General features: G+C 43.9%; 1 protein-coding gene and 2 long non-coding RNA genes across 18 annotated transcripts in view, besides 3 other annotated features; 1 reads left to right on the top strand and 2 right to left on the bottom strand.

Moving 5' to 3' along the window:
- ITGA6 (integrin subunit alpha 6) overlaps positions 1–20,096 on the top strand; it is a 79,124-nt gene that overhangs the window by 18,620 nt on the left and 40,408 nt on the right. For all 10 annotated transcript variants that reach the window (XM_017004005.2, XM_017004006.2, NM_001316306.2 and 7 more), the window contains exon 2: positions 19,584–19,708. Coding sequence is in view for 5 of the 10 variants with exons in the window: in NM_001394928.1 (NP_001381857.1) it covers positions 19,584–19,708 (125 nt within the window). In the remaining 5 variants the exon portion in view is untranslated. The remainder of the gene's footprint in view (positions 1–19,583; positions 19,709–20,096) is intronic.
- Positions 7,411–7,580: an enhancer, noted in NCBI's record as "experimental_56002 CRE fragment used in MPRA reporter constructs". NCBI's record gives its function as "activates a minimal promoter by MPRAs in K562 erythroleukemia cells, with activity observed for both the introgressed and non-introgressed 2:173318179 variant alleles {active_cell/tissue: K562}" and the evidence as "EXISTENCE:reporter gene assay evidence [ECO:0000049][PMID:34662402]".
- Positions 7,411–8,181: a biological region, named in NCBI's record as "H3K27ac hESC enhancer GRCh37_chr2:173318135-173318864".
- Positions 7,452–8,181: an enhancer, noted in NCBI's record as "H3K27ac hESC enhancer chr2:173318135-173318864 (GRCh37/hg19 assembly coordinates)". NCBI's record gives its function as "activates a minimal SCP1, AML or CMV promoter by ChIP-STARR-seq in naive H9 embryonic stem cells {active_cell/tissue: H9 hESC(naive)}" and the evidence as "EXISTENCE:reporter gene assay evidence [ECO:0000049][PMID:30033119]".
- On the bottom strand, positions 18,307–20,067 carry ITGA6-AS1 (ITGA6 and PDK1 antisense RNA 1). Its single transcript, NR_157573.1, has 2 exons — positions 19,869–20,067; positions 18,307–18,619 (listed from the first exon to the last, which is right to left on the bottom strand). It is a non-coding gene; the product is annotated as an ITGA6 and PDK1 antisense RNA 1 (long non-coding RNA).
- The window catches only part of PDK1-AS1 (PDK1 and ITGA6 antisense RNA 1), a 92,199-nt gene continuing 90,413 nt past the window's right edge, over positions 18,311–20,096 (bottom strand). For 3 of the 7 annotated variants that reach the window (NR_199651.1, NR_199657.1, NR_199652.1), the window contains one exon: positions 18,311–18,619. This is a non-coding gene — a long non-coding RNA (PDK1 and ITGA6 antisense RNA 1). Of the gene's footprint in view, positions 20,067–20,096 lie in introns of all 7 variants that reach the window. The other 4 variants (NR_199654.1, NR_199656.1, NR_199653.1 and 1 more) reach the window with 2 other exon arrangements.

Genomic DNA, 20,096 nt, shown 5'->3' on the forward strand with positions numbered 1-20,096 from the left:
ACTGAGTTGTGTGGCACATCCAGCTAAAGAGGGAGGTTCAGTTGAGTAGTAGTTATTCAGGGTGGCCTTATGCCCAGCTAAAAAGTCTTTTACTATGGGAAAGAGGAGAACTGATGTTGGGTGACAGCCAGCACTCTCTGGCAGAGCTACTAAGCCTGTTGTTTCATTTATCTCATTTAGAAAATAAACTGTGACCATATTAATTTCCTTTTCAAAGCATTGAAAAATTTGTATTTCCTAAACTATTGGAGTAGTAAAATGGGTATGGTGACCCACCAGGTGTGAGCTCATTAAGTCTATCTTTTCTCTTCTTGTTTTTTATTTAAAATATTTTATTGAAAAATGATGGAATTTAAAGTCGCTTTTTCCTTTGCAGATGAACTATTTGATAACAGGTTTTAAGACATGAATCTTATTTTTTGAGTTAACACTGATAATATTTATGCTTGGTACACTTGAAATAGAAAAACCTGCTTGGTCACAACATGCTAGAATTTAAAATTATTAAAAGTGATGAATTAATGATAAAACTTTATTCCCATAACAGAAATTTACTAAGCATCTACTATGTGCCGAGCACTGTGCAAAGGTCAGGGATGGAAATGGTGAGCTCACAATCCAAGTGTGTACAGTTTCCTAGACTTGGTTTCTTGAAAGGAAAACTCACTAGAGATTGGACTCCAAATCACAAATGTCATTTGGCAACTGATAAGTCGGGTATCTGGTAATTCAGAAGCACAGGAAATGATTAAATGCCACATTTGACAAGATCTGGCAGCTGCCTTGTGAAACTGAAAGAACAGGATTGCCTGGAGACAATTATCAGAACTTGGACTTTCATTTTTCCTTGCTGCAGTAGACAGTGTTTTATTGTGGCTCTTTAAGAGATGTCTTAGTGGTATGAATTGCTTGGTCAGCTGAAAACTTTTCACCTAATTTAATTTTATTTTTAATTTTTTTGAGACAGAGTCTCACTCTGTTGCCCAGGCTGGAGTGCAGTGGCGCAATCTTGGCTTAGTGCAACCTCCACCACCCAGGTCCAAGCGATTCTTGTGCCTTGGCCTCTGAAGTAGCTGGGATTACAGGTGTGCACCACCGTGCCCGGCTAATTTTTGTATTTTTAGTAGAGATGGGGTTTCGCCATGTGGGCCAGGTTGGTCTCAAACTCCTGACCTCAAGTGATCTCCCTGCCTGAGCCTCCCAAAGTGCTGGGATTATAGGTGTGAGGCACCACGCCTAGCCAAATTTTATTTTTATTTTTATTTATTTATTTTTTATTTTGTGAGATGGAGTCTCACTCTGTCGTCCAGACTGGAGTGCAGTGGTGTGATCTCCGCCTCCCAGGTTCAAGCTATTCTCATGCCTCAGCCTCCCAAGTAGCTGGGATTGCAGGCGTCCACCACTATGCCCAGCTAATTTTTGTATTTTTAGTAGAGACGAGGTTTTACCATGTTGACTAGGCTGGCCTCGAACTCCTGATCTCAAGTGATTCGCCCATCTCAGCCTACCAAAGTGCTACGATTACAGGTGTGAGTCACCACACCCAGCCCCAATTTTATTTTAAAATGAGCTAGTTATATATTTATTTCTGTACTTACAAATTTCTGTTGAAGTGGAATTCTTGATCATTTTAAATGCAGGCCAGTTGCTTTTGTGATTTTTATGTTGTTGCTAATGTTATTCTTTTTTCCTTGAGGTTATTGAAATTCTTATGTTGGGAGGTAAGAAGCAAGTGTTGGTGGACCAAGGTCACACCAAAAATAGATCCTAGGGATAGAACCAGAATTCCAGAATTCTTTTCCTGTCTCCTCCTCCATTTTCCTGATCTGACCGCTCTTATTAGCATATTCCCTTTAAATAGTTGAAATTGAGGGTTGTGATTTCACATTTTTTCCCCCGGTACGTGGTAAAGACTTTGAGCTGAAGGAGTTGAAAGTTGTGGATGTTAAAAACACGTTCTGCTTTGGATGTTCCTTTACTGCATGAGCTCCCTTGCTCTTAATGAGACACACCCATAGTAAAGTCCAGACACTCAGTCTGGACTTAACTGAGTCAGGTTAAGAACTAGAACCCTCAGGCGCAAATGTCACATGAGCATCATATTCACTAGAAAATGGGTTTAGTTCTAGCATGCTCTTTCAAGGAGGCAGGAAAGAAGGCATCTTGTGAAATTTTGGGAAGGCCAGGATAAAATTGCTGGTCTTGTGCTCCAGTTAAAGGTAACAGGTATTCTTTGCCTTTAATTTTGCCTTTAGCACAGATCTCAAAGTACTTAATAGACGTTAATTATAACTGACCATGCTCTTGTAATAGATTTTTTTTAATGAGTAAACTGGGGTGTAGTGATGTCATCAAATCAAGCAGAAAGGAGACTCTTGGAGTAGTGGTTTAGAGCAAGATCTGGGAGCCCAGGAGTGCTAGGCACAACTCCTGGTTTGTCACTTACCAGCTGTGTGACCTTGGACAAGTTACTTGTCTTCTCAATTTGTGTCCACATTTGTAAAATGGGTAATGGCAATAGTGTCTCTTATATTATTGTCTCTTATAGTGTCTCATGTTATTAGGCAGAGTACCTAATATGAGAGCATAGGAGATGATAGCTGTTGGGGCATTATTAATAATAGCTTGTTTGCCTCCTTTGAAAGTAGGCTATGTTTGTGATTTCTTAGAAGGTTATTAGAAATCTAGTCTTTTGAATGTGGAGTTGTAGTTTATAGTCAAAAGAGAGCCTCAGCCTTTTAACCAACTTTCTGTGTAAACATGAAAATTCCGGGCTGGATTTGTTCCACTGTGAATTTTAGCTCACACTTGCCCAACTGGATTATCCAGTAAGTATAATTTAAAAATAGGGTTTGGTTTTTCTTCTCCAAACACCCTTAAGGTTACAAAAAAAAGCAGGATCTGCTTCCTGCCCTCAAGGAGTTTATAGCCTAGTAAAGTGAAATTGGGAGAAGTACTTGCCCTTGGAGATGATGAAACTTGAGTTAGGGGTCTTGAAGGCAAAATCGTAGGTAAGGCCTGGAGCTGGAGCTTGGTAATTGACAGTGTTTATGGGGTTGGGGGCAAGGTGGCAGGAAAATGTGAGCACAGGCGTCAAAGTCCTTGTGTGCCTGGGAAGTGAAAGGAGGAGGGGCAGCTCCTGGTGGATGGCCAGGGTGTGGCTAGATGGAGGAGGAGGGCTCCCAATTGTGGTGGGAAGAATGCTGCACAGTGGGAAGGGCACTGGGCTGGAAGCCCTACCCATGTCAGGGAATGTCTGGGCCTCAGATTTTTATTTTCTAGAATGAAGATACTTACCCCCCAATTGCTGAGATATTTGAATAAAAGTATATGTGAAGGATTTTGTAATTATAGAATGTCCTACAAATATGAGTAGTTCGTTTGCTACTTTTTTGGCGAAGAAAAATATTGGGATGCATGAATAATATCTACCTAAGGTACCTAAGGTTGTATTCATCCCATTTATTGAATGCCAAGGATATACCAGCTACTGCTCCAGATGTTGTATTCAGGGAACAGAAGAAGAGTCCCTGTGCCCATGGAGCTAACAGCATTCTAGGGGAGGAAAGATGGGACAGCTGACTTTCACGATCTCAGGTACTGATGAAGATTGTGAAGATTATTACATCAGGTGAATGTAGGGGTGATTTAGAGAAAGCTGGTAGCTAGGCTGTTCAAGGAAGGGCCTCTGTGAGAAAGGGGATGGTTGGCTGGGTGTGGTGGTTCACGCCTATAATCCCAGCACTTTGGGAGGTTGGGAGTTTGAGACCAGCCTGACCAGCATGGAGAAACCCCGTCTCTACTAAAAATACAAAATTAGCCCGGCATGGTGGCACATGCCTGTAATCCAGGCTACCTGGGAGGCTGAGGCGGGAGAATTGCTTGAACCCGGGAGGCAGAGGTTGTAGTGAGCCGAAATCATGCCACTGCACTCCAGCCTGGGCAATGAGAGTGAAACTTCCTCTCCAAAAAAAAAAAAAAAAAAAAAGAGAGAGAAGAGGATGGTGGAGTTAGCCCTGAGGAATGTGAAGGATGCAACCAGCGAAGATCTGAGTCAAGAGTGTTCGGAACCAAAGGAAGCGACTGCGGTTACTCTGAGATGGAAATGAGGCTGCTATGTTCAAAGGACAGAAACGGAGTCAGTGTGGCAGGAGTGCACACCTTAGAGGGTGCAGCTGGAGAGGCAGAGAAAGGGCCACTCACCATGGGCCTTGTAGAATGTGGCAGGAATTCAAATTTCATTCCATTGCCCATCGGAACCCACTGGAGGGCTGTAAGCAGAGGAATGATGTGATATGACCTGAGATGTGCAAAGAACAGCAGTTGCAAAGAACAGATGTGGAGGACGGGCTCGGGTGGAACAAGAGTAGAAGCAAACCAGTTAGAATGATACTATAGTTGTTCAGGTATGATGTGATGGTGACTCAGGCCTTTGTTTTAGGAGTTTGCAGGAGCTCAGAGCAGACAGTGAAAGTGGCCACCTTGAAGCAAAACACAAATGAAAGGGTTGATCACAAACTGGATTAAAGTTGGCAGTGAGAATACTGGAAAGGAACTACTGAGAAGTGGTCAGAGTAAAATGTGGAGGTAGAGCCTGTAGACTTTACTGATGCATTGGACGTGGGATATAAGGGCAAGTGAAGAATCAATGATGACTTCTAGGTTTCTGGCCTGAGCACCTGGGTAGATGGTGTACATTTAGTAAGATAGAGAAGGGGGCCGGGCATGGTGCCTCAAGCCTGTAATCCCAGCACTTTGGGAGGCTGAGGCAGGTGGATCACTTGAAGCCAGGAGTTTGAGACCAGCCTGGCCAACATGGCGGAACCCCATTTCTACTAAATATATATATATTTTGTATGTATGTGTATATATATATAAAATATATATATAATTTATGTATTTATATAATATACAAATATATTTATATATTTATATACAAATATATATTTATATTATATATAAATTATATAAATTTAAATAAATATAAATATATTTATCTTGTATATATAAATATATTTTGTGTGTGTGTATATATATACACACACAAAAATTAGCTGGACGTGGGGGCACATTCCTGTAATTCCAGCTTCTTGGGAGGCTGAGGCATGAGAATCACTTCAACCTGGGAGGCGGAGGGTGCCGTAAGCCAAGATTGCACCACTGCACTCCAGCCTGGGTGACAGAGTGAGACTCTGTCTCAAAAGAAAAAAATTTTTAAATAAAAATAGGGAAGGAGGCCGGGCACGGTGGTGTAATCCCAGCACTTTGGGAGGCCAAGGCCGGTAGATCAGTTGAGGTCAGGAGTTCAAGACAAGACTGGCCAACATGGTGAAACCCTGTCTCTACTAAAAATACAAAAATTAGCCTGGTGTGGTGGTGGGCACCTGTAATCCCAGCTACTCGGGAGGCTGAGGCAGGAGAATCACTTGATCCCAGGAGGCAGAGGTTGCAGTGAGCCAAGATCGCACCACTGCACTTCAGCCTGGGCAACAGAGCGAGACTATCTTAAAAAAAAAAAAAAAAGGGAATGCTTATGGCAAGCCTGGCTGGGGGAGAAGCTGAGTTCTATTTTGAATGTGTTAAATATGAGATGTTAAGTGGAAATGTTTACTAGGCAATTGAATATCTGAGTATGGAGTTAGGAGAGAGGCTGGGGCTGAAAAGAGGTGTTTTGAGAGTTATCAGTGAATGGATGGTGTTTCCAGCCACAGGATGAGAGCGCAGCTAGAGATGAGGAAAAGGTCTAAGAGCTGGTGGAAGAGAGGAGCAACCAGCAAACTTGAGGAGAAACTGGCAAGTATCGACTGACTTGTACATCCATCTACCTTGCTGTCGTGATCGACCCTTATGTTTGTGTTTTGCCTGAAGGTGGCCACTTTCACTGTCTGCTGCGAGCTCCTGCAAACTCCTAATAATCCGAGGGACAGAGGGGAGTGGTGGTGTACTGTTCTAGTATCTACTTTTATGATTCAAAAACCTGTTCTTTTTGAAATCACATGGTACTTAAAGATATTTATATTATCTTCTCTATCGTCTTTTCCTCCCTTCATTTTTACTTTGGTAATTTTACCTATTAAGATTGTGAAGGAACTTGACATTTTAGGGATTTCTTGTAGATGTTGTAATGAAATATGGTTTTGGAATTTGATTTAGAAAGAGGTGGAATGTAGTCCGTTTTCTTTCTCCGGCTTCCCTCAACCTTCCAGTTCTTTATAGGTGGTTCATTGCTTTGACTACCAGAGGCCTTAAATGCAGGTTGCGTAGTTGACCATGCGACCTGTGAGGCTCCCTTTGAACCTTTGTCCCTATTTCTGTAAAATTAGGAGCTCAAATGAGATCAAGGTGGGCTTCCTTGATTTCTTCCAGGGAACAGGGACTGGTGGGAGTCAGTGGCAGCAAGTCTTGTCTAAAGGTGTGAGCAGCAACAAAGCAACACACGAGGCAGGAAAGGACTAGGCTTCATTAATGGAGGTGATGCTTCAGCTGAGATATAGAGGGGATTGGGGGCTGGGCACGTGCTTTTTGGAGAATGGGCAGCATTTGCACAGTGTGGGAGTGCGAACAAAGAGCCTGGTGGACCAGCTCCAGGTGGTGACCCCATCAATAGGAATAGGGTGATTCTCCTGCATTTTCTCATCTATAAGTAGCCATGTGGGGAATCCAAAAACCAGTTACCAACATTCAAAATTGCTAGTGCTGTTAGTTCTGCAAGTATAAAATTAGAAACAAAGTTCAAGCTTCGTCTGCCAAGTTGAAGTTTCCTAAGTGTTCTCTCAAAACCCATATTAATGGACTCATTTTGGCGTTTGTAACCGGGTAAGTTACAGATAAGGGCATCTGCATTAACTGGAGTTGCCTTTTGAAACTCCTCAGCCCTAGCTTTGGTTTCTCAAATGTGGTGTGGGTATTTGGAGTAAACTGCTGTAAGGCTAAGCTGTTAGTAAGCATTTGATTTTGAGAGCCCTCTTTCCTTTGCAGCTCTTATAAATGGATTACTCAGTAGGAATTGCTGGAAATTAGAATCACTGCCTCCTTTAATAAGTCTAGTTAAGGCAGGGAGGTGGGCCCCGTCACAGCATAGGGCAGAGCAGTCACTTAGCAAGGAGCTCAGGAAATGTTTGCTGAATGAAAGAGTGGAGAGTGAAAGGTCGTGTTCTCAACCTGGCAGCTGGCATTTCTACATCACTTTTACTCAGAGATTTGCAGACAAAACTTTTTGTTTAAAACAATGCTATGTTAATTATAATCTAACTGTTACACAATTTTTTTTTTTTTAAATCACAGTACAGGGCTGGGCGCAGTGGCTCATACCTGTAATCCCAGCACTTCCGGAGGCCGAGGCAGGAGGATCGCTTAAGCTCAGGAGTTCGAGACCAGCCTGAGCAACACTGTAGAACCCCGTCTCTACTAAAAATACAAAATATTAGCCAGGTGTGGTGACACACACCTGTAGTCCCAGCTACTTGGGCTGAGGTGGGAGGATTGCTTGAGCCCAGGAGGTGGTTGCAGTGAGCCATGATTACGCACTGCCCTCCAGCCTGGGCAACAGAGCAAAACCCTGTCTCAGAAAGAAAATCACAGTATACATGGAATACAAAGGTTTTTTGTGTTTGTTTTTAAGAACTAGAGCCTTCGAAGGAGCATGTGGCTTACTGGTATTGGGCTGAAGGATGATTGCATGGGGCCCATCTGGATAATCCAAGATACTTTCCTGGGCAGGGGCATTGACAGGGATATTCCCTACTTTCTTCCACCTTTAGAGGATTTACTTTAGAAATGGTTTAAGGTTTCTCAAAGTTTTAAGTCTGCTGTGTTGGAATTATTAATACTGGAGTTTGTCTTTTAATTGTGTAAATTACCTGGCTTGTTCATTACAAATAACCATTGGATGTCCTGTAAGTGCTAGGCACTGAGCTGGATGCTAGGTGATGCAACAGTGACAAGGACAGGTGTGGCCCCTGCCCCCATGGAGCTGACCTTCTGGGGAGGGAGAAGGACAGTGAGCAAATGGTCTCACACACAGTCGTATAATCACTAACTGTGGCCATTGCTGTGCAGGAAAGGCAAATGATAATTATAAGAGATGGGACCTGAACTAGCCTGGAAAGTGGGAAGTTTTTTTTTTGTTTTGTTTTGTTTTTTTTTTTTGAGATGGAGTCTCACTCTTGCCCAGGCTGGAGTGCGGTGGTGCCATCTCGGCTCACTGCAACCTCTGCCTCCTGAGTTCAAGTGATTCTCCTGCCTCAGCCTCCCGAGTAGCTAGGACTACAGGTGCGTGCCACCGTGCCCACCTGATTTTTGTATTTTTAGTAGAGATGGGGTTTCACTATGTTGGCCAGGATGGTCTCAATCTCCTGACCTCGTGATCCACCTGCCTCGGGGAAGGTTTTTAAGCAGAGACATGAAGGGGTGAGTAGGAGGATGCCTGAAGGAGAGAAGAAGAAACTGTGCAAAGGTCCTGAGCCAGGAGAGTGGTGGTGGTTGGAGGGGTGTGAAAGAAGCCCACTGCAGTTCAAAGAGTAGAGAGTGATGGAGAGGGTTAACCCAGAATGTGCCCTTTGGAAATACCTAACCTGAAATACTTTTACCTAAGCCATTGTTAGGATCTGAGTTCTTGGTGTCTGAGCACAACTGAATGTGAATAAGAGGCTGTTTGGATTTCCTGCTGTGGATGGCAGGATGCTATTCACAAAGAAGCCTATGTCCTGACCCTCCAGACCTGCTGCTACATTAGGTTAAATGGCAAAGGGGCATTAGGTTGCAGAAGGAATCAACGTTGCTTATCAACTGATGTTAAAATCAGGGAAGTATCCTGGATTATCCAAATGGGCCCAGTGGTTCTTGTAATGTGGAAGAGGGAGACTTGAAGATGCTCGCCCGCTGGCTTTACAGATGAAAGAAGGAACCATGAGTCAGGGAAAGTTTTCCTGTTGGGCACTAGGCTTAGTACCTGAGTGACGAAATAATCTGTACAGCAAACCCCGGTGACACGAGTTGTGCTGCATAACAAACCTGCATGTGTACCCCCAAACCAAAAATAAAAGTTAAAAAAAAGCTGGAAAGGGCAAGGAAACAGATCCTCCCCTACAACCTTTAGGAAGGAATGCAGCCAAGTGAGACCTGGGTTGGCCTGTGGCCCTAAGGAACTGTGAGATAGTAAGATAAGATGAAGGCTATTATAATAACTGTGTTTTAAGCCACTAAGTTTGCGGCCATTTGTTAAAGCAGCAATAGAAAACATCCTGCCTACCCAACTCAACGTCTCATTGCATAGGTGGGTGTTACCACCAAGTCACTTGGCAGTGACGACCTCTGGTGCCTGCTTTGCTGCTCACAGAGCAGTGGAGAGTGGCTCTTACTAATAATGCCTCCAGGTAAATATTGCTCAGTAAATACTTACTGAGGGCCTGCCACGTGCCAGACCTTGCTCTCAAAGCTTGGGATAACTGCTGGGTGAAAATGGTAAGATGTGTGCCCTCACCAAGTTTCATTCTAGATGCCTCTCAGCCCTGCCCCATGGAGAAGGGCCAGCAAGAGTGTGAATTTCACATCCAGACACCAACCCTGACTGCAGCTGCTGCTAAATAGTTGTGAACAGCAGTGACTTTTCCCTGAAAAAGAAGTCCCTTCCTTATCTTAACTACTTGTAGGAAAACATATATATACTGAAATAGTTTCCTTCCAGGTTATTCTGAAGTGATTCTTTGGGACTGATAAAATGGGACAAACTGAATACAATAATAGTTGCTGAAGCCTAGCTCATTACTGCTGGATAGAACCTGTTGTGAGTACAGAGTTCTCAGATGTCTTTTTAGATCTCCAAATCAGTCACCAAAATAAGGAAAATAGTTTTTTTTATAACTTAAAGTACACACACACCAACATGCATATAGGCTAGAAAGCCTGATATGAGGTGTTAGTCTGGTAGATTGACTTCTTGTTTAAAGGGAGAAGAGTTTACAGAGGCAGAGGCACAGGGTTTGGATAAACGCACAAACAAGCTTTAACGCCTCCTCTGCTTTTCTTCACCAGGTGGGGAAGGCAGGGAAGTGGGGGGACCCTTAACTAAAGAGAGGAGAGTAAAGACTAAGCAGTCGAGGCAGGCCACCAGGTTTGCTGAGGGCAGCCAGGAAGTGGTAGAGGGTGTGGACATTCCCTGTTAATCACTGGCCCTTAGAGAGCAGGCACTTCCCCCTGCAGCCAGAGGAGAGACAGTACTTCTGTCAGTGGATACCTGGAGGGTCAAGCTGCGGGAAAGGAGAGGGACTCTTACAAGGCCAGTGAGCTTTGACCAGATGAGCTTACCCTCAGGTATCCTGATCACGTGGAGACTGGCCATATGGCTTCCCAGACCAAAATAACTCACCTGTGCCTGTGAAACCATACCAGGGCCAGATGCAGCTGCACTGTTGAGATTTGAAGCGTGGTGCTGTTGAATTCAAGCTGCTGCATCAGTCAGGTTTCTTTGCCAGCTTTCTATCCGAGCCTGGGGTGACCATATCATTCATCTTCCAAACTAGGACACGTTTAATGAAAGGGAGTGGAGTGAATGTTCAATCTTTAGACAACAGGTATGATCCAGGACTGTCCTGGGGAAACCTGGACATATGGCCAGCCTAGCTAAGGCTAGAAGCGTTAACCATTCCATTGGATGGTCTGATGACCCAAAATGGCTAAGTACAACATAGCCTGTGTGTGGAAGGGCCTCAGCACCCCCAGGAAGAGAGGGATTGTCCCAGGTGCCCTTGCTAGCATATGTCTGTGCCCATAGCATAGACAGCTCTCTGATGTAGGGGTCTAGAATAGGTGTTTTCTTTATAATCCAAATACAAAGCAATATTTATTTTTACCCCAAAATTATTCTCCTTGTATTTGAACATTACAAAATTGTTCTCTTATGAGAGCTGCCCTTCTGACTACTTTATTTTGGAATGACACAGTCATCTGTTCTAAACACCTTGGCTAATCTAAAAGGACCTCAATCCATTTTAGTTGTGAATGCTGATAGAGGTTAACTTTGGTTTTAAATAAAAATAAATAATTTAAAGAAGGAGGCAGGTCACTGTGGTGGCTCACACCTATAATCCTAACACTTTGGGAGGTTGAGTTGGGGAGATCACTTGAGGTCAGGAGTTCAAGACCAGCCTGGCCAACATGGTGAAACCCCATTTCTACTAAAAATACAAAAATTAGCCAGGCTTGGTGGCGGGCACCTGTAGTGCGAGCTACTGAGGAGGCTGAAGCAGGAGAATCGATTGAACCTTGGGAGGTGGAGGTTGAAGTGAGCCGAGATCACAACACTGCACTTCAGCCTGGGTGACAGAGCGAGATTCTGTCTCCAAAAAAAAAAAAAAAAAAAAGAAGCAAAGAAATTTAGTTCACATTCAATACTCATTCCTCAGGATTTAGCATCGTAATTGCAAGTACTGGATGTTACAAACTTTAAAACATCCTGGAAATGTTCTAGAAAACTGGGTTAGGCATTGCTCTCTGATGAAGTAATATCAAAGAAACATACAGAGTTTGATTAAAATTGCTTGATGAAATACAAATAAAATTATTTTTAAATGAATGTTTAGTATGTGTGATTTTAAATGTTTGTATAAATTTAAACGATCAAATGTCAGTTGACTTTCATCTGCGTTCATAAAGCTTAAATATATATGTTAGCCAAAAAAAAGTTTGGAATGTTTTTCCCCGTTATATTCATTTATTTAGGCATACATAGTATGTGAGGAGTGGTAGTCATGATAAGAGAGACGTTGTGGTAACAGCTGGGGAAAGGCATCCCCCTTCAAACTGGGGGGGAAGCTAGGCTGGGATGAAAATCTGATGCAAGAAATGATTGTATTTTGACTTGTGGTTCCAGATGGCAAACTAGGTATATGGTTTTGCTTCCTGGCTCCTCAAGGCTCCCTAATAGTTTAGAGATTATGAAGAAGCAGAAAGCAGATGGGATCTGGGCTTATGACCTTAGCAGGGGAAGGAGCCAAGTCTAGAGTTCATCATGTGCCCCTCCCCGCCCCCCAACCAAGAGTGATCAGGTAAAGCAGGGACTAGGAGAGAGGAGTGGGTCTGGAAGTGAAGGACCACACAGGGGTCCACAGAGACCAGGTGATTCCATCGTTCCCTACCTCTGTCTGGAGTAGGGGCTGCTGGCACTTAACACCCTGGCTGTGGGGAAAATACCAAACCCATAGCACTTTCTGGGGACAGGCAGATAGGGGAATGTTGACATGTACACGTTTTACAGAGCTTAAATTGATTACAATGCACAAAAATAATGAATTCTTTTTTTTTTTTTTGAGACCATCTTTCTCTATCACTCAGGCTGGAGTGCAGTAGTACAATCTCGGCTCCTGAAACCTCCATCTCCGGGGTGCAGGCAATTCTTATGTCTCAGCCTCCCAGATAGCTGGGATTACAGGTGTGAGCCACCGCACCCGGCCAAGAATGAAGTCTTTATAGAAGTAGATTAGGCCAAGTCATGACACTAGAAATAAAAAAAATGCCTAAAACTAGGGCTTCTAGTGTGAATGCTGGGACCCCAAGAATTAAGCTGTCCTCATTCTGGCATTTGAAGAGTGGTTTGCAGTCTGATAACTAGCTGGCTACCCACTCAGCCTAAAGCGAATCCCTGGAGTCAGCAGCCCCACCCAGGACTCCCTTTCAGAATTCCTGCTCAGGGTGAGAGCGAGCCAGAAATGGACCTTTTTATACAACATCAGAACAAAAGAGAACAGGGATTATCAGGCATGTGATGAGAGCTAGCAGCATAAAAGGCAATGGCCGAAGCAAACCAACAGAAAAACTACAAGAAACAGATAATCCAGGAACACAAAGAACTGTAGGAAAACTTCTAGGCAAAATGCTTAGAATTTTGGGAACATGTTAAACCCACAGAATAAGATTAGGATCTGTTATGTAAAAGGCACAGTCAGAACAAAGAGCTCTTGAAGACTGCAAATGTGACTACTGAAATTAAAAATGTCAGTATAAATACCAGAAAATACAGTTGAAAAATCTCAGAACCACAGAGAAGGAGGGAAAATGAGAGAAAGGGTAGATTAACCCAGGAGGTTCACCACCTGACTAGTTAACAGAGGTTTCAGAAAGAGGACAGAAAACATACAAATGAAACGATCCACACACAATAAAAAGAGTTTCCAGGAAATTCATGTCCTAAGTCTGTGGAGTGAAAGAGGTCCCACATAGGCTCACCATCATGCTGTTGAGAATGCCTTGGGTAAAGTAGAGAACGTGGTGGAGCACGGTGGTTCACGCACTTTGGGAGACTGAGGTAGCTGGGGCCTCAAGGTAGGCGGATCCCTTGAGGCCAGGAGTTCAAGACCAGCCTGGTCAACATGGCAAAACCCCATCTCTAATAAAAGTACAAAAAGTAGCCAGGCGTGATGGCACATGCCTGTAATCCCAGCTACTTGGGTGGCTGAGGCATGAGAAGCACTTGAACCCGGGAGGCAAAGGTTGCAGTAGGTAGAGATCATGCCACTGCACTCCAGCCTGGGCAACAGAGAGAGACTGTCTCAAAAAAAAGAAGTTACCCTTTTGAGAGTCAGACTAACACCAGAATTTCCACTGGCAACACTGGATACTAGAATTAATTACAGCAGTGCCATCAAGGTTCTGAAGAAAATGTTTTTCAACCTGGAGTTTTACACCCAAACTATCAAGAGTGAGAGCAGCATAAAGACATTTTTGTATATGCAGAGTCACACTCAGTTTACCTGTCATATGCTATTAGGACAGTATTTAAGAAAGTAATTCAAACAAGGGGGAACATCAGATCCCAGATCAAATCCAGTTACCCCAGGATAGCCATGAAGGGCTGTTCCAGCATGATCCTGTGTAGCAGGCCCGGCAGAACATCAGGTCTACATTGCTGCAGAAAGGTCCAGGGGCTCTGAGAAGGGAGTGTGAGCCAAGATGAGATCCTGATTTAACGCGGGTATGGCTTGGGAGCTTAGAGAAGATTGAGGCTTGGATAAAGGTGAACAATAGAAGAAAAAAGAAAGGCAATGAGAAAAGCCAAGGAAAGCAAGAGTCATGGTCCAAATGTGAAGTACACAAAGCAATTGATAGAATGTAAGAATAGCAAGTCTGTTTGACCTTAATGCTAGGAACAGTTTCTTTTGAGGCTGAGGGCTTCTGATACTGCTCCCAGACAGAAAAAGGAAAATCAGAATACAGTTTGGTTCAGCACTGAGTAATACTTATTTGGCTATGTAAAAGAATAGATGACTGAATTGTGGTTAAAAGTCAAAATGTAAGTGGTAATAGGTCCTGTAAGTGTAAAGGTGTAGCTGGTAGATAGCAAGACATGGAGAAACTAAGAGGAAAGTTTGGAAGGAAGAATCCAAATGCTCATAGCTTTGTCTCACTAACTAGGGAATCAAGATTTCTGTCAAAAGTTGAAGGGAAAATAGAGGTTTAAATCTTTAAAACTCAGAGTAGCAAATAGAGGAACTAAATCTAGTTATTAAACATAGGATGGGAGGTGGCAGTTTGTTCTTTCCTTTTCATATTATGGGGCCAACAGTTATTGCCTAAAGCTGATAAATCAATACATATATAATAATCCAGAATTATGGAGAAGTAAATCCAGAATGAAAAGTAAGAGGTTTGTCCGGAGTGTGGGGCTTGGGATGAGTTTGGAATCTGTTGCTTTCTACCGTTAAGTCTTTTATTTTTTGATTTCCTATCATTTGTACTTATTACTTTAGCAAAAATTAAATTCTGAGTTTGAAAATGGGTTAAATGTAAAGGTGACACAATTGCCACATAATGCTACTTTCTAACTTTTTAGGTCTTAATTTGGACAAACTAAGCAGGCTGTGTTTTAAATTAAGCAATAATAGTGTTCTTGTTCTAATGGTGCAATATTTCATGTTTCCTCTGACCAGCTTGCATAGCTAGGGGCAGAATCTTTAATCCTTGAGGAAATGAATTATTGCCAAAGACAGTGAAGCAAAGCTGCCATTGTTCTTGGAGTTTTAAAAGTGTCCCAGTGTTTAGAACTTTTGATTTGAAGTATTTATGCAAAAGTATACCAGCTCTCTTTGGGGGAGAACTTGAATATATGAAACGGATGTGGCTTACTTGAAGAATTTTGAAATAACCTTGTGTTCATAGCATGATAGTGAGTCCTGAGTCTCTGTGCCCAGAGCTCTGATTAGACTCCAAAGACCTGAATTTATATCATATTCCCAGTTACTGTTATACTTATATCGTTAGATTTTTACATTCCATTTTAGTATCTCAGTGTTTATTTCTTATCGTTAAAGATGATTTTGTGGTTTTGAGTTTTGCCTTTTAAGTGTGGGTTTCTGATATGCTGAAATCCCAAGGCAGTTTTTATTTCGGTGCAGCTTTAAAATTCAGTGGAGGTCATTGTCCACTGGCCGGTTTTGAAATGATCTTAGTTCACACCCAGATTCTTGCCCTTTGTTTAGTTTTTCTTGCCTTGACCGCATATGGGAATAGACCTCTCAGGCTCTGCTCTGTTAATTTCTATCACCTCCCTACAAAGGCCCTAACTCATATCCCTTGGTCCCTGTGGCTCTGAAGGTCGAGTTGTCACATAGCTCTTTCCTCCTTCAAACGTACTGGGATGGTCAGTAATGAGTGCTGCAGCTGCCCTGGTCCTAGGAGTTGCTGTGAGCATCCTGGTAGTGCCCAGAGAGTACCTGCTTTTCACACTGAACCATCTGGGTGGCCTGGGCCCAGTTTTTGGCATTTAAGGGCCTTGGAGGGAAAGGGAAGAAAGCTGGAATTTGAGCATAAATTGGATTTTGTGTGGGCTGAGGGTCCTCCTAGGTGTAGACTGTCCCTCCTGGACCTGTACCCACTCTGCTAGCTCAGGAGCCAACCATGTCCTGAACAGCTTAGACCAGCACCCAGACCCTAAATGACCTAGATTAGGAAGTAGATAGGTTGTTCTCTGCTGTCATTGTTTGGACACAGCTCTATTTACCTTATTTATTGTTCCTGCTAGGCACAGCCTCAGCTAATGGGCTGTGATCTCCTGCCTTTAAGGCTGGTTCCAGGCGAATTAAGAGCCTTTGCTTGTTTCCCAAACCAGGGAGGGCAGCTTTACCTTGAGGATGAAGGCGCCTCCAGTTGCTGAATGTGGTTGGGGTTACTGTGTTCTCTCATCAAGGTGTAGCTTTACCTTACCTTTCGGTGATGGGTTCTGCCACCTTATCGCGGTGGGTCCCAGGAGACCGGGCGCAACTGGAGCAGGGGCGCCCTCTGCTGCTGGGTGTCAGCTCTTCCTCCCACGGCTGCCCAGGGGATTTGCAAGGGGCGGTGGAACACTCCTGCTTCCTCCATCCCCTGTGGGACCACCTGAGGTGGAGGAAGGACAGTGCCAGGACCATGTGCAGGCTGAGCTCGCCCAGAGGCGGTGCAACAGCTAACGTTATTCTCTGTGGGTACATTTCTCTTGTCGTTTGCAGGTCTCTTTTCGAATCTGTTGTCCTTTTTCCCCAAACCAGCCTGCTGCCCCCATCCTGCCATGTGGTCTGCTGTCATCTGCAGTAGCCGCCGCATGTAAGACACGAGGACCTCTTCTGCAAGAGCTTGGTGTGGGCATTTGTGAAATTTTGTCACCACAGCCCCTGTAACCAGCCAACAAATTCGAGTTAAATGCCTATTCTTTGTCCCACACGTATTAGTTACAGAGAGTGGAGAACAAGTGGCAGATAGAGGCTGAGGGAAGCCAACCCACTCTGAGGGACTGGGCATGTAAATGGGACAACCTCCACAGCTTTTTAAACCACAGGACACCCAAAAGCAGCTGTACCCTGCAGGACACAGCAGGCTACAGAAGCCTGGGGTTCAGAGGGTCTCTGACCCTTCGTCCTTTAGCGCTGCTGACCAGGCTGCTGATCCTCGACCCCTTCTTGTCACCCATTGTGTCCCTCTTCTCCCTTTTCTCTGGCTCCTTCCCTTGCAGCCTTTGCATATGCTGTGTTCCTTACCTGGCCACCTCCAGTCCCGCTGTCATCTCTTAGTGACATCCTCCCTTCCTCTCCAGCAGGTGCTGGTGCCCACAGCACTCTGTACCATCCTCTCATTGCCTCTAGCTCCCTGTGGTTTCATGACCTCATGACCTGTTCACGGATCAGGCTTCCCCAGGCCAGAGATTGAGGAGTGGGGGCAATTCCTTATTCATCCTAGGAGGCTCTTAATCAGCGTTTGTTGAGTGAATAGGTGAACGAATGTGGGAATGGGATAAACAGGAAATAAGCCCTGTGCCTGCCTTAGGTAACTTAGTAGCCACCTTGGGTGTGGGTGAGAAGAGGAAGTGGTTAGGAAGACACACAGTTAAGACAATGGGACTCCTGTGCTGCTTTTTCTAGGCTTCTCTTTGCTGGTGGTTACCTTTACAGGAAATCTCTTACCCAGCCTTCACTCCACCCAACTGCAATAATGCTTTTCTTCCTTCCCCTCTACTTGGCTCTATTATCTTAACTTTTATCAGCATACAGAACAGTTTTGGTTGTGATGTTTTATTTGTGTAAGTTTTGCCCTTTCAACTAGGTTGTAAACTTGAAATCCTGGGTTTTACTTCCTAAGCAGCTTTGTAAAGAAATGGAGACAACATTGCACCAAGATAATTTTTGTCATGGCCACCCACTAGCTGTGAGATCTTGGGGGATGAGTAATTAAGCTCCTCAAGGCCTCTGTTTCTTTATCTGTAAAACTGGAGGACTGGTCTCTCTCAGGGGCTTCCAGTGTGAAAGTCCTGGGGTTCTGGGCCTCTGATCCTGGCACCCCACTTATCCCTTCCAGCACCCTCCACATGACTCCACCTCTGACATCTGCCAAGTACAGTAATTTAACACATTCACCTTATAGTCTAGGCAGTTCACCTCCCAGGTACTTGTTTGTTGGCATTCCTGGGATCGGGGACATCACTGGAATAGGAGTGGAGCAGACCTGTGGGGACCCTTGTGGCCCCGGCCTTGCCTCTGTCCTCTGTCAAGAAGGTTCAGGCACCAAGGACACTGCTCCAGTTCCTAATTTAAAAGTCTGTGTGTCAGTTCTGTACCTTGGTGTGTGCTGTTTTGTTCCTTCAAATGTAGGGTGGGTTTGGAGGTGGGGGCTGACTGTGACTGTCCAGGGATCTGGGAGGAAGGACAGTGCTGGGGCTATGTGTTATCCATGAGCCACCCCTCCTTCTCTGTCTGGGCATCATCTGGCCCCCCTCCCTGCTTTCCAGGTACACTTGCCTCCGGTGGCACCTGCTGCATGATATTGGTTTAAAAAAAATATGTTGAATCCTTTATTGGAATGATTCCTTTATTGGGACCCAACAGGCATGAAGGTAATAGAGACTATTTGGTTTGTATTTTCATTTGTTTTGCTTTTGCTTCTGAGATTTGTGGGTTTCTTGATGGCCAGGAGTGGCTTGTTTTCTGTTGTAAGAATTTGTTGTTTGTACAGGTTCGTGTTCCCAGTCCTTTTCCTCAGCTCCAGCCTTGTTTCCAAAACTCTCAGCTCTTGGTTTATCTCTGTCCAGTCAGGTGTGTGTTCTTTGTCTTTGTTTCTTGTCCTAGTTGTTCCATGAGTCAGCCAGGCCTCAAAGATTGTAAACCTGATGGTGAGTAAAGGTGTTAGCAAAAGAGACCTAGCAACAAGGTCATTGGATCTCTAAAGAGCCTGTCAAGCTGTGAGATGGTGAAATTTTAAGGACTGTGGATTTGGACTGGGGGCCTCCTTATAGGAGATAAAAACACTCGGCTGGGGAGAAGAAGGAATATTACAGTGCCTAGTACATAAGTGGAGCTACACCAGTTGTCCCTGAATCCTTTGTGGGAGACTGATAGGATGAGAGAGGACGAACTCTTGTAATGTGACAAAAGTGCAAGGAAGTAAGAACTGACTTGGAAGAACAAACATCAACTTGTACACCTCAAATATATCTGCTTTTTATTTGTCCATTCTACCCTAATAAAACTGGAGGGAAAAAAAAAAAAGAATTGGAAAGAGGCCAAGGCTGCAAGTGAATAATTCAGTCGAGTTGTATCTTACTTACCATTAGGTTCTCTCAATTAGTATATAAACTGAAAATCTAAGATATAGTCAGAATTACCCTTGAAAACTACCTCAGGAAGGCACAGTGTTAGAAACTGACATATTATTGCTTATTACATTTAGTGTGGCCATTTTTTCCTTCCATTGTCACAAGTATTTGGTTTCTTCTCTTGAGTTTCATATGATATCCCTGGCATCATAGGGGCTTAGAGGTTGTATTCTTTGAAGAGGGTGTCTTTTAAACACCAGATCATACCCAGCAAGAAATGCTGATACTATGAGAGACAGGCCTATTTTCCTCGTTTTGGTATCCCCTCTTTGGCTTCCCCTGTTTAGTTGTGTTTGTGCGTTTTGCATGAACCAGCCATAGGACTCTACATTTGTTCTCACTCACTGCCTAAGCTGTTGAAGAATTAGTGGACTCCTAGACAAAGAATAATCCCACTATCTCCTAGTTCTGACTGATTTAACTGTTAAACGTATATTAAATTCAAATCTCCAAATTGTCTCTGTTTCATCAACAGGTTGCTCGTGGGGGCCCCGCGGGCAGAAGCGCTTCCACTGCAGAGAGCCAACAGAACGGGAGGGCTGTACAGCTGCGACATCACCGCCCGGGGGCCATGCACGCGGATCGAGTTTGATAACGATGGTGCGTTCCTTTCCCTCACTCAGCGTTCACTCCGGCAGCTTGCCTGTACTGTTTCCATGAGGGAGGAGAGTGGGGACAAACATTTATTCTTGTAGAGAGGACTTCTTTTAATTGCATCAGACTTGACTGTTTTTTATTTGCCCTGAAAATATTTACTTACTTTACTTCTGAATCATACTGGGATGCCGCGTGTTTTGCTGCTCCTCCTAACCGTGGTTTCTAAACCGATATGGTGTAGGGATGTTGCCACCTAGTGATGTGTTGAGGTTCTGCAGGAGGTTGTGGAAAAACTCATTTCATAGCAATGAAGAGAATGAATGAGCGTATCTTGTATTCATCAGCCAAAAGTTCTCACATGCTGTTAAAATATTTGGGAGAAAGACAGTTT

The sequence above is a fragment of the Homo sapiens genome, chromosome 2 (genome assembly GCF_000001405.40).
Source record: "Homo sapiens chromosome 2, GRCh38.p14 Primary Assembly".
In the NCBI taxonomy this organism is placed as follows: domain Eukaryota; kingdom Metazoa; phylum Chordata; class Mammalia; order Primates; family Hominidae; genus Homo; species Homo sapiens.